Source organism: Homo sapiens, chromosome 3, assembly GCF_000001405.40.
Source record: "Homo sapiens chromosome 3, GRCh38.p14 Primary Assembly".
Taxonomy (NCBI): Eukaryota; Metazoa; Chordata; class Mammalia; order Primates; family Hominidae; genus Homo; species Homo sapiens.
The window spans coordinates 112,668,316-112,681,804 of record NC_000003.12 but is presented as its reverse complement, the minus strand read 5'-3'; positions in this window follow the sequence as shown (position 1 = coordinate 112,681,804).

Below are 13,489 nucleotides of genomic sequence, written 5' to 3'. Positions count from 1 at the left end.
GGCATTCCCGAAATTGTACCAGACGGATTATTTGTGGTCTTAAGTAGGAAGAAACCCATATAGGAAGGCTGATCCCAGCCCTCGCTGGCGACATGCAGCCTACACAAGACTACTTAGCTTCAAAAGAAACTCCAACTCATCAGGAGTAAAGATTGACAGATGCTAGAGGCAACCTTAATATAGGCCTGGCTTAAAGAGTGTATCTAGATCAGTATATTTTAAGTGATTAAAATCATATGAAATATATTCTTTGATGACAATGAAATAACTTATTAGAAATCAATAACTTATTAGAAATCAGTAGCAGATAGGAATTTAGGAAATTCACAAGTAGATGGAAATGAAACAACACACTCTTGAATAACCAGTGGGTCAAAAACTACCAAAACAGACTCAAGAAAAAATAGAAAGTTTGAACATATCTGTAATAAGCGAAAAGATTAAATCAGTAATTAAAAACCACCCAAAGAAAAGTGCGAGACCATATGGCTTCACGGGAGAATTCCACCAAATATTTAAAGAAGAATTAGCACCAATCCTTCTCAAATGCTTCCGAGAATTAAAAGAGTAGTTCCAACTTATTCTATGAGGCTATTAACCTGATGTCAAAACCAGACAAAAACATTAAAAAAGAGAAAACTATAGTATAATATCCCTCGTGAATATAAATGCAAAAATTTTAAACTAGATTTTAGCAATATGAATCCAATAATATGTAAAAGGGGTAATATACTATGACCAAATTGTGTTTATTCCAGTAGTGTAGTACTGACTTAATATTTTAAAAAATGAACATAATTAACCAAATTAAAAAACTGAAAAAAAACTCTACTGAAATAAGTGAATATATTTATGCAAAACAAAACCAAAAAAAAAGAACTTTGGTCTATGTCTCATGCCATATTAAAAATACATGAAGATGGATTATAGACCTAAGTGTAAAAGCAAAACTGTAAAACTTCTAGATGAGACGTGAGAAAATTTTTGGTACCTGTTAGGCAAAAATTTCTTTTGCCCAATATCAAAAGCACTATCCATAAAAGAGAAAAAAAGATAAATTGGGCTTTATAAAAAGTATAATTTTCTGCTCATCAGAAACACTGTTCAGGGAATGAAAAGACAAGCCACAGGCTGCGATGAAGTATTTGTAAAGTGTGTATTTGAAAAAGAACTTGTATCTAGAATACATAAAGAATTTACAAAAGTCAGTAATATGAAAGCCAACTACCCAATTCTTAAAACTAGGCAAGATATTTGAACAGATACTTCTCTTCATTGGAGAAGATATTCAGGCCAGGCGCGGTGGCTCATGCCTGTAATCCCAGCACTTTGGGAGGCTGAGGCGGGCGGATCACGAGGTCAGGAGATCGAGACCATCCTGGCTAACACGGTGAAACCCCGTCTCTACTAAAAATACAAAAAAAATTAGCCGGGCGTGGTGGTGGGCGCCTGTGGTCCCAGCTAGTCGGGAGGCTGAGGCAGGAGAATGGCGTGAACCTGGGAGGCGGAGTTTGCAGTGAGCCAAGATCCTGCCACTGCACTCCAGCCTGGGCAACAAAGCGAGACTCCCTCTCAAAAACAACAACAACAACAAACAAACAAACAAAAAAGAAGATATTCAGATGACAAGTAAGCAAATGCCAAGATGCTCAATATAGTTAGTCATTAGGAAAATGCAAATTAAAATCCCAATGAGATAACACTACACACCTATTAGAATGGCTAACTTTGTTATGAAGATGTGAATGAAAATGTGGAAGAACTACTTACGGAGATGTAAAAATGACACAACTACATTGGAAAAGACTTTGGCAGCTTCTTAAAAAATTAAAAAATATCTACTCTAGGGTCTAGCCACTTCTCCTAGGTATTTACATGAGATAAATAAAAACCTATGACCACATGAAGACTTGTACACAAATACTCATAACAGCTTTATTTGTAGTAGCCCACATCTGGAAACAACTCAAATATCTATCTACAGGTGAATAGATAAAGTGGATGATATCCATTCAATGGAATACTATTTAGCAATAAAAGGAAGAATTGATACATGGAGCAACATGGATGGATATTAAAATAGTTACCCTGGGTAAAAGAAGACAGAGTATGATTATATTTATGTAAAATTCTAGAAAATGCAAATGAATCAAAGTGACAAAAAGCAAATCGGTAGTTTGCTGGGAGTGCAGTGGGTAAAGGGGGATGTGGAAAACTGGGAGGGAGGGACTCCCAAGGGGATACCTATGGTCTGAATGTTTGTGTTCCCCCCAAATTTATACGCTGAAGCCCAAACCCCCGAAGGTGATGGCATTAGGAGGTGGGCCCTTTTGGGAGGTGATGAGGTCATGAGGGAGGAGCCCTCATGAAGAAGATTGTTCCCCTTATAAGATAGGCCCATGGGAGCTCATTTGCCCCTTCCACCTTGTGGGGATACAAGAAGGCTCCACCTTTGAAGCAGAGAGAGAGCTGTCACCAGACAATGAATCTGCCAGTGCCTTGATCTTGTACAGCCTCAAGAACTGTGAGGAATACATTTCTGTTGTTTATAAGCTACCTAGTTTATGATATTTTGTTATAGCAGCCCCAAAAGACTAAGATAGGGCCCAAGGAAATTTTGGGGGATGATATATGTGTTCACTCTCTTGATTGTGGTGATGGTTTCATGGATAGATACAGATACAGCCTCAAAATTCATCAAACTGATACTTTAAGTATGTATAGTTTATTATATGTCAATTATACCTCAATAACACAACATTTAAAAAATAAAACTATGACTACAAATAGAAATTTTAAAAAATATACTCAGTGAACAGAAAAGGAAGTTTTGGTATTGTGGCTAAACTCCCTTTTTTCTCCCAGTATTAAGTAATAATACGTAGGCATATTTACTAAAATATTGCCATGTACTAGGCATAATATTAGATACTTTATATGTGTTAGTTATTTAACATTCACAACATCCCTGTGAGATAGATAACCCTATTAGACCATTTCATAATTGGAAAACCGATGGACTTAACCAAGTACTCACTTGTAAAAGTGGCAAAGTCAGGATTTAAATCATTCTTGACAACTACACTCACTACCTCACGTGAGACAAAACCCTCATTTAATTGTTAAACTGTGCTTGCTGTCTTGAATTAGAAATACTAGACTAGGAAGGAGACCTCCAGAGAGCCAGAGAGGAAGGCTGAATGAGGGCCAGAAATAATCACCCGGAACTGAGTTTGGAGTGATAAATACTTTAGCTCTGGCTCCATACCTGTCCTGCAACTGCATCCTGACTCTGTGTATAATACTTAACTGCCTGTGTCAAGTAATTCAGCCTAGACCTGACCCTTTCCCTTATTTGTGCAGGTGACTCTGTTTCTGCCCCAGGCCAACCTTAATACCCAAGGCCCTTCACCAGTTTTTGCAGCAAAGATTTTTTGGTAATTTTAGTGGTGATCTGGAGATTCATAGGAAAGAGTCACATCTCCCAATGCTCTGCTCAGTCCCCCACCTCCTGCAGCTACCTATTTCTCTAAGCCTCCCCCGACTTCCCCCACTTCTCCAGCCAGACTCCCATCACTCTTCACATTTCCTCTGCAGTGCTTGGTCCCAGTCTTCCGTCTACTTTCCTTCTTCACTTAAGACCAAGGCTATGTCTTTTACCCACCTCATTGCTATCAAAGCCCTTTCTCCCTTAGGAAATTATCTGGCCAGCTACTAAGAAGATAAATTTGTTTCTGTATCCTGACAGAAGTTATTGCTGTCTTCCCAAGGCTGACCTGACAAGTGTGTTGCTGTAGTAACCACATCTAAAAAAATGTGTGGCCAACAGCAAAGATATGGAATCAACCTAAGTGTCCTGTCAATGGATAATAGGATAAAGAAAATGTGGTATATAAACACAATGGAATACTATTCAGCCATAAAAAAGAATGAAATAATGTGTTCTGCGGTGACATGGATGGAACTGGAGGCCATTGCCTTAAGTGAAACAACTCAGAAACAGAAAGTCAAATACTGCATGTTTTCACTTATAAGTGGGAGCTATATAATGTGTACACATGGGCAAAGAGTGTGGAATGATAGACACTAGAGACTTGGAAGGGTGGGGGCACAGAAGGTGGGGAGATTATGAGAAATTACTTAATTGGTACAAAGTACATTTTTCAGATAACAAATCCAGTAAAAGCCATGACTTCACCACTGTGCAATACATGCATGTAACGAAATTTCGCTTGTACCCTTTAAATTTATACAAATAAAAAATGCATAGAGAATGGGAGGGGACCTTCTTCTCAAAGAGAATCTCAGCCCTTGGTTATTAAAACAAAGGCCAAAGCTCATGCACACCTCAGAAATCAGGTCTAAAATTTTCAGACTGATATCAGATATCCACTGGTGGCTAGCGGGTTCACCTGCATCAATTTGTATGATTTTATTAAGGAGGGGATAAAAAAAAGTTTGCACACTTCTGTCCTCCTTGCAAGCTTTGCACAGCTGCCTTCCTAGGGCTTGCAAAATATAGTTTCAAATGTGAAGGGGGCATTTATAACTCAGCATCTCAGGTCTCCAGGGGCAGGAAAAATGATACTAGGATAATGTCTGCCACCAACCAGGATTGTCTCTCTTACCTCCTCTGTGGCTGCATTTGGGAGAATAAGGGCTGAAAAGGCAGGGAGAGTGGATAGGGCCTCTCCAACAGTTTGGGCAGCATGAGGTAGAGAGCAGAATAAATACTGCTCAAGGAAGTGAAACCCGCTATTGGGTTTGTAATGCCTCTTTGCTGTTCTGCTAGCTCCCGCACTCCAGAGATGACTAAGCAGCTGATTCATTGTGGCACCCTCAGAAAAACAGCTCAGCCCTGAGAGAGGAGTCATGCAAGAGGAGAGGGCGCGCATGTGTGTGTGTGTGTTACGGGTGAGGGGGTGGTGTCTGTCAACATGTCTTTTAATGAGCAGTCACAGTATTTTACAAAGGCTTGAATTAGTTGCCAATATGTTTAAAGAAACACAAAGATGAGGTTTTTTTTGCATGAAAAATCCGAATTTGTGAATATCAGCTGATCTGACACCCTGTGTTACTTTAATAGCTTCCTTGCTGGTCTTCCTGCTTCCATCATTTTCTCTTTTACAGTCTGTTTTCAACCCAGCAGCCAGAGGGATCCTTTTCCAATGTAAATCAAATTATGTCACTTCCTTGATTAAAATCTTCCCATGATGTTCCATCTCACTCAGAGTAAAAGTGAGAGTCCCAGAAATGCTCTGTGAGACCTACCTGCTGAGGTACCCTGTTACCTTTCACCTGTCCTAGTCTTCCCTGTCCTCTTCCTCTCCTTCCCCTTCCACTTTCCTCTCCATCTCCTCCTCTTTCTTTTCCTCCTTCTCCTAGTATAAAAGATGGAACCAGACTATTCTGTGGCTCTATTTTCTGTGTGTTTTTGAGTAAATTACTTAACTGGTCTGTGCCTCACTTCCTCATTGGTGAAATGAGGCTAAAAATCGTATCCTGTTCGTAGTGTTGTTTTGAGAACAAAATGAGTTAATATTTTTAAAGCCCCTAAGACAGTGCCCGACACATAATAAAAATAATCCCATTGCTCTTCTAATCCAGCCATGCGGATTTTCTTAATTTTGCTCAAATAAGATAGGTTTGCTCCTGCCTCAGTGCCTTTGCAGATGCTCCTTTCTCTGCCAGGCTGTGGCTTCTACAAATACCCATCTCTTTCAAGCCTTACTTACCTGTATTTGAAGTGAATGAAAAATTGAAAAACAAAAACCCAAGTGGACCAAAAAATAAACAAACAAAAGCCAGCCAGGAAGAAATGAAGAGTATTGATTAAATTCAGCAAATAAATGGAAGAAAAAAAAAATCTCAAAATAAAGACTCATTTACAAGGTGGCTTTAGGAAAAGAGATTCAAATTAAAATTTAACAAGAAACATTGAAGAAAACTGGAAAATAACCAAAATAATTAAAATTTATAGTAATTTTTTTCTAGAAAATCATGAGGACACCTAAAGTATAAATTAGATATGGCTCAGCACTGTCTAGTTTACAATTTACCTTATGAAGTCAACTTATTGCTCTAAGTATTTGGGTCCAAGCATCTGGGACCAGCTTGTTACCATCTCTGACTATTGGAAAACCTTTTGCCAATTGCTTCCCCTCTGCTTCCTTTTCTAGTCCCGTCTGAACTGTCTTGTCTGGCCCTGTTTCCACCCAGGAAGCCGCAGATCCTGACTCCTTGTGTTTGTTTCTCTGCCCAGATGAGAAACACCCATCACCTCTGACTTTCCAAGGAGCAAATCACGCTCCGTGCCGGGCTCCCCCAACAACACCACTCCCTCTTCCCTTGCGATCTCCAGGTCCTCCTTTGACACTTCACTTCTCCTGAGAATCATACTGCTTCTGTTTCTACTCTGCATGCCAGAAGTTATTGCTTTCATCTATTCAATAAAGATTTATTTTAAGCAATTAAGTACCTGATATGTTTTTTTTTCCACCAGGGAACTTTGTACAATTTTATGTTTTTAAAAATTATTTCCAGAGGGATCTGAACAATTACAAATGGAGGCTTCAGTATGAGTACCTTAAATAAATATCACCTATTATTCAGAGACAAGGAGAGGATGGGAAAGGCACATTCCCTCTCTGGTCCTGGGGAGTTGAGGCCGCATAGAGGGGTCTCCTCTAAGCAGTCTGGAACATTGTTTATAACTCCTGATTGGCCCTGTTCTTGATCATGCCTTTCCTGGACTCCACAGCACTGTGGGACTAATGTAGAAAGGCTCTGTTCAACCAATAAGAAAAAAGACATTTTGTGTCATGCCTGGCAAGAACCTGCCTCCCCACTTTATCCTGAAGTGAGGCTTGTCTGGGAGACCTGGGCTCACTAAAAGGACTCAGAAATACATAAGCTGTCGAAGGTGTGAAAATGAATGTCATATGACGGAAAAGTTTTCAAAATATTAAAAACTTCAGGAAGGGGAAGAGGAACAAGACTATAGAAGAAAACGAAATCTCAAAATAAGAGTGTGGATTTTGTGTGATGTTTGAATTAGAGCTAGAGGAAGAGTAGAGAGGAGAGAGTTATTGGTTTTCCTCTCAGCAACTTTTTTTAAGGCACTTACAAAACTCAGATGTTGATTTATTTTTTTTTTCCTTTTCAGTAACCTTGTCTGATGAAGTCTTCATCTAACCATTCTCTGCCCCTTCAAATGAGATCATTGTTTTCGTAACATGTTTTGGGGTGGAAAAGAGTTTGGTGAATTTGTTCCAGAATAGATAGTGTCAACTCAACTGAGGTTTATTCTTTGATTACAAAAGATTTCCCTTCCTAAAATGCCAACCATGTCACCATTCTGCCACATCCCTCTACTCTTCTCTCCTCTCCTTAAACCAGATGCAGTGTCCTTTGACTAGAGTGGGGAGGAGGCGAGCTGACTCCACATTTCCACCCAAGTGGGACTGTGATGAGCATTGGAATGACCTGTTCAGGATGTCACTGCTTACTGTCTCTGGCTTTTGGCAGAAAGAGGAAGGAGCAAGAAACAATTCCAGAGAAAAGGATAAATTAAGAGGCCAAATAACCTTCACGATTGTTTTTTAATTAAAATTGATGTTCACACAAATGTCAGTCAGCTCTGTAAGTACTAATTCTAGAGAAATACTAATTAGTAAATTTTAACAATTGAAGGCCATATTAATATTCATTTTTGTAGATACACAAAATACCACTTACCCCAGTTTCCCCTTGAATCCCAATAACACTGCACTCTGTGATTATGGAAAATTGCACCACTTGAGTTCTGACTTTTGAAATTACCTATGTTTTTAAATATAAAATGAGCTGATTCTTAAAATTCAGAAGTGAATGGCTTTCAGGCTGTCACACACCTTGAGAATATCAGGGTTTGGGGGGCAATTCTGTGCATGTCCCCGCTCCCTTCAGATCTTGCCATCTGCCCCACGCACACCATCGCCCACCCCTACTCTCTCCTACTGCCTCTGGATGAAGCCTGCCTGTTGTTCACACGTTTTATGCTGTGTTATATAGAAGAGTGCTTAACAGCCTCTTAGCTCCATATGACATTGGGCAAATCACTCAATCTCTGTGCTGTATTCGCCCCATCTTTAATATAAGAGATCATTTAGAACTTATCTCATAAGGATATAAGGAATAAAATAAATTAAGATGCATACAGTGCCTAGAACAGTTTAGCAATGTAGTGTGAATGTTAAATATTATCTTCCAATCCTTGTGTTTATACTATTCATCTGTGAGCCCCTCCAGGATTGTTCTCTCTGATAATTTAATCCTCCCTGTCCTGTCAATTCAGACGAATTTCTTCCTCATGTGAAATCATTACCGGTACCTTGTACTTAAAACATAATATATTCCATGTGTTATTTATTTTTTCTTATGAACCTTTTTTCCTGTCTCAGTTAGACTGATCTCACAGACAGTAATGCTCTTCACACATTTTTTTTTTCTGTGTCCTGTTGAGTGCTTTGCACACAATAGATCCTCAAGCAAATTTTTGTTATTGAGACTATTGAAGATAGCAACTATGTAGAATCCGGAAAGAAAAGCATGGCAAAAAATAAAGTATTTTGGTATGATGTGTTGGTTCCTGTTCTTACACTGAAGAATCCAGTGCAAGAATCTATGCAAGCAAGAAGGCAAAATTTTCATCTTGTCTGGATGGGTGAGCCTGAAACAAATAACTTCCTTTGTGGATACGATGTGGGTTTTATTTGAAATGTCTCTACAAACCACACAAGAATTTTTATCTTTCTGAAAATTGGTCTGCTAGGGAAAGATACTGACATCTTTCAGTCAATGCAGTTTTCACCCTGTTCAGCACTTCTCCCACAATAGTGGGCAGTCCCTCTGCAGAAATCTCTGCGGAGCTTTGGCCTAAGGGTAGCTCAGCACTCTGACACCACATGTAATTATCTAGAATGCAGGGACTCTGCATAGACCCATATGACTGGTGTTCCTGGTGGGATTCTGGTAGTAAGATGGATGCACAAAGGTAACTGCTAGGGAGTGGAGGGCAGAGAGAGACATGCATAATGATAACTTTACACCTCTACTACTTAGGGGGAAGAGCCTGTTCAATCTGACTTAGTTTAGAGGATGTGGGTTTGTCTTGTGAAAAACTGAATGGTAAGAGTTTGCTCTAAGTCTGATCTTAGCACTTGAAAAACAAATGTCAAATTGCTGTCTATTGAATTAAGAAATTAGCGAATGAGTGAGTGGCCTGAGGAGATCTGGGTGGTTCTAGACCTTCAACTCTGAAAGATGTGAAAAAGACTAGGTTGGCCTGTGTTTCTGTTTCTGTGGCTCAAGCCACACCTGAGATGTCTACTGAGTTATGAAATAAAATGGTGTCATGAACTATTGCAATTTTTCTACCCAAGGCCCTAAGCCTTACACAATCCTCTAATCCATTCTTAAAGTTATCTAAGACACAAATGTGATCATGTTACAGACACTCCTTCAATGGCTTTTTTTTTTTTTGCTACACTTGGAAAAAGTCCAAAGTCCTTAGCATAGCGTGCAAAGTTCTCCGTGTTCTGCCTTCTGCCTTTTCTCCCCATCATGTCTCTTATGTCTCCTCCATTCAGTATTCAAAATTCCATATCTTACACCCTGACTATGGAAAGAATTTACTGTTCTGCAATGTGCCAGATTCTCTTAAGCCTTCCTGCCTTTGCATTCCTTTGCCAGGAATGACCACCAGCTTTTTCTGCCTGGCTAATGTCCACTAATTCCCCAAACATTAGCTCACGAGTTTCCTCCTATGTGGCACTTTCTCTGATTCCCTCCAGGAAGAGTTAGGTGTTCTCTTTTCTCTGTTCTCCCAGCAATCTTTGACCGTCTTTTTTGTTACATACTTGTCTTTCCCTCCAGACTGTGACCTAATTTAGGGCAAATATTCCATTGTACCACAGAGCATAATTTTGGTAGATAGCTATTGTTGTCCATAAATGTAATTATGAATTATAATACAGCATAATGATTATATTACACATGTTGAAGTTAGTCGAGCCTGTGTTTGCATCATAGAACCTCCATTTTTCGGAACTGTGCCAGTTTTGTAACCTCTCTAAGTTTCAATTTGTTCATCTGTAAAGTGGAGACAATAATCATGTCTTCCTCATAGCCTTGTGTGAGTATTAAGTAAGACAGTGACTGTGAATGTTTCAGCCCAGTGCCTTGAACACAGTGTGTATTCCATTTTGTAGCAGCAGGCCCAGCTGAAGATAGAATTTGTTTTTGTTTTCTCTACTTCAAAAAGAAAGGAGTGGCTGGGCGTGGTGGCTCATGCCTGTAATCCCAGCACTTTGGGAGGCCAAGGTGGGTAGATTGCTCGAGGTCAAGAGTTCAAGACCAGCCTGACCAACATGGTGAGGCATGTCTCTACTAAAAATACAAAATTAGCCAACTGAACCCAGGAGGTGGAGGTTGCAGTGAGCTGAGATCGTGCCACTGCACTCTAGCCTGGGTGACATAGCAAGACTCCGTCTCAAAAAAAAGAAAAAAAAAACTATACAAAAATTGTATTATAATAGTTTATGACACTGTTTTATTCCATAACTCAGTAGACATCCCAGGTGTGGCTTGAGCCACTGAAACAGATACACAGACCAACCTAGTCTTTTTCACATATACTACACTGATGTCAATTTTTCTTGCAAGTGAATTGCAAGGCGTTGTACTTTTATGGTTTTGTGTTCGTTTGTCTGTGGTTTTTTTTGTTTTGTTTTGTTTTTTGTCTTGCTCTGTCTCCAGGCTGGAGTGCAGTGGCGTGATCTCAGCTCACTGCAACCTGTCTCCCGGGTTCAAGCGACTCCCCTGCCTCAGCCTTTAATTGAGTAGCTGGGACTACAGGCACACGCCACCATGCCCGGCTAATCTTTTGTATTTTAGTAGAGACAGGGTTTCACCATGTTGGCCAGATTCACAACTTATACTCAGAAGGCTGGAATTCTAAGCAATGTTATTCAACATGTGACCCAAGAACTGGTGCTGCAGTCTGTGACAAGATAAGGACAGGTATTGACAGGAATATTTAGAAACTTTCGTAGCAGTTTGGTGTTTCTGTGACATCTAGGCATGTGCTTGCTTTTCTGGCAATTATTTTTATTGTGTTGTACGAAAGAACTAGTCTGCAACCAAATGTACATAAAACAAAAACAAAACTAGAACTTCACCATACACAATTTGAGAAGCATTGGCTGAAAGTACTTAAAAACCAACTAGTTCAGTCTTTTTCATATTGGACTTAAGACTACCAACACCCAGAGAGGTAAAGCAAGAAAATAAGGAACCAGACCTAAAACCCAGGCATACCAATTCCTGTTCCAATGCACTTTCTCAAAGACTCTCAATCCTGAAACTAGAATTACAAATTGTCATCTGGGTTAGAATATCCAGGTCTACTACTTCCTTTCCTCCTCTCTTCTGCAGCTTGTACTTGAGGGCCATTTTCATGCTCACAAATATCTCTGCTAGCAGGGGATTCCAATGTATCTTGGAAGGAGGTTAGAGAATGACCCACATTGTGGACTCCTTGGTCTCTGTGTTTTTCTGTTCTGCCAAGTAAGGTGGCTAGGCATCAGACATCATGTACTCATACATGGTATGGACAAGTGCCTAATCTCAGGAGCCCTGCCTGCCTAGACATATATGCACCATTATTAGTCTGTCTGTAGCCAAGGATCCCAAATTCCTATTACTAGAGCATTGAAAAGCACCCCTTTACCCTTTACCGTAATATGGAATTCAGTTTGTTACATTTCTCTCTTTCCTTGGAAATCTGAGGTCTCTCTTTACCTGAAGATGGCTCATTATTTACTGAGTCCCATTGCCCATCAGGAAAAGCAAACACAACTCCTTCGTAGATATGGAAAAAGAGAAGGATGGTCAATGGGGGACTGAAAAGGGGCTTGCAAACATTAGTCCCCAGAGATAATTATATGGGAAAGGATCCAGGAGGCCAGATTCCCACAACAGTAAGACAACCCAGTCCAAACCATTTGCATTCAGATCTGAGTCTTTCTGAGAAAGGGCATGTTTTCCTTTTAGCCTGTCTCTTCCCATTAGTATTCCCACAGTTTCCTCTTAAATATTCTCTTGGAAAATCCCAACTGCTCTCAGCTTATCAAAGGGAGAAATGAAAACTTAACCTAAGATGGCTAGGCGAGGTGGCTCACACCTGTAATCCCAGCACTTTGGGAGGCCAAGATGTGTGGATCACGAGGTCAGGAGATCGAGACCATCCTGGCTAACACGGTGAAACCCCCGTCTCTACTAAAAAAAATACAAAAAAATTAGCCAGGCGTGGTGGCAGGCGCCTGTAGTCCCAGCTACTCGGGAAGCTGAGGCAGGAGAATGGCGTGAACCTGGGAGGCAGAGCTTGCAGTGAGCCAAGATCGCGCCACTGCACTCCAGCCTGGACGACAGAGTGAGACTCTGACTCAAAAAAAAAAAAAAAAACTTAACCTAAGACAAGATACCTATGAGGATCTGAAGGTACTTGGGGCCAGGGGATGGTGGCCACATGCATCTGGGGAGATAAAAGAGAAGGAGAGGAAACCATGGGATGACTGAGTGTGGATCCCTTTCTGACTGGCATTTCTTCAGAAAAGATCCTCTTTCCTTGTCCTATAGTCCCTCGTTTGCATTAGACAACCAAAGGCAGAGGCACGCTCTCCAGAAGTCCTCAACACTTAGGGGAATGGGAAGAAAGACCCTTAAAGACCTGAGGCTTCATGAGCACCATCGTGAAGATGGAGGAATCCTATTGGCTAACTGTCCCCTTGGAGTACACAAAGCACACAGGAATGGAGATTTTGAGGGCAGGGCAGAGCACCACAGTAGGGGCTAGGAATGCCTAAGGAAAGAAGGCCAGGAAGCTACGGATGAAGAGCTAGAACTGAGGGATCGACCCTGAGAGAGGAATTAGCTATAGAGGTTAACCCCCTCGTGATTTCCCCAGGATAGGTCGATGATGAAGTGATAATGTGATATAACCTTTGCATGGACCCCTTTAGGTACATACACTCTCTTCAAGTCTCTTGGGTCTGAATCAGTTTTTAGGAACTACTTTTAAATTGCAGAAATTTTATTTTTAATAAAAGCAAGAGTGCTGTGTGAGAAACAATATAAATTATCATTAAAAAATGAAATTATAGGGGCTACACCACCAAATAGCTCAGTGTTTCTAAATTTCCAGATATTAAGGAATTGTGAGATCTCAACTACTTGCTAATTGACAATTTATCTATTTATAAGGATCTTTAGTCTTCATTTTGTCAAATCCCAAATTTTGGAAAAATACTCTTCTTGGTATTTCAGGTTCTTTTGTAAGGATTTTGTGAGCTATTTATGTCTACCATCCCTCATTCAATACCAGTCAAACCCACTTATTGATTGTTGCTAACTTCCTAATTTTTCTTCTCTAGTATCTTTAGCATTATCT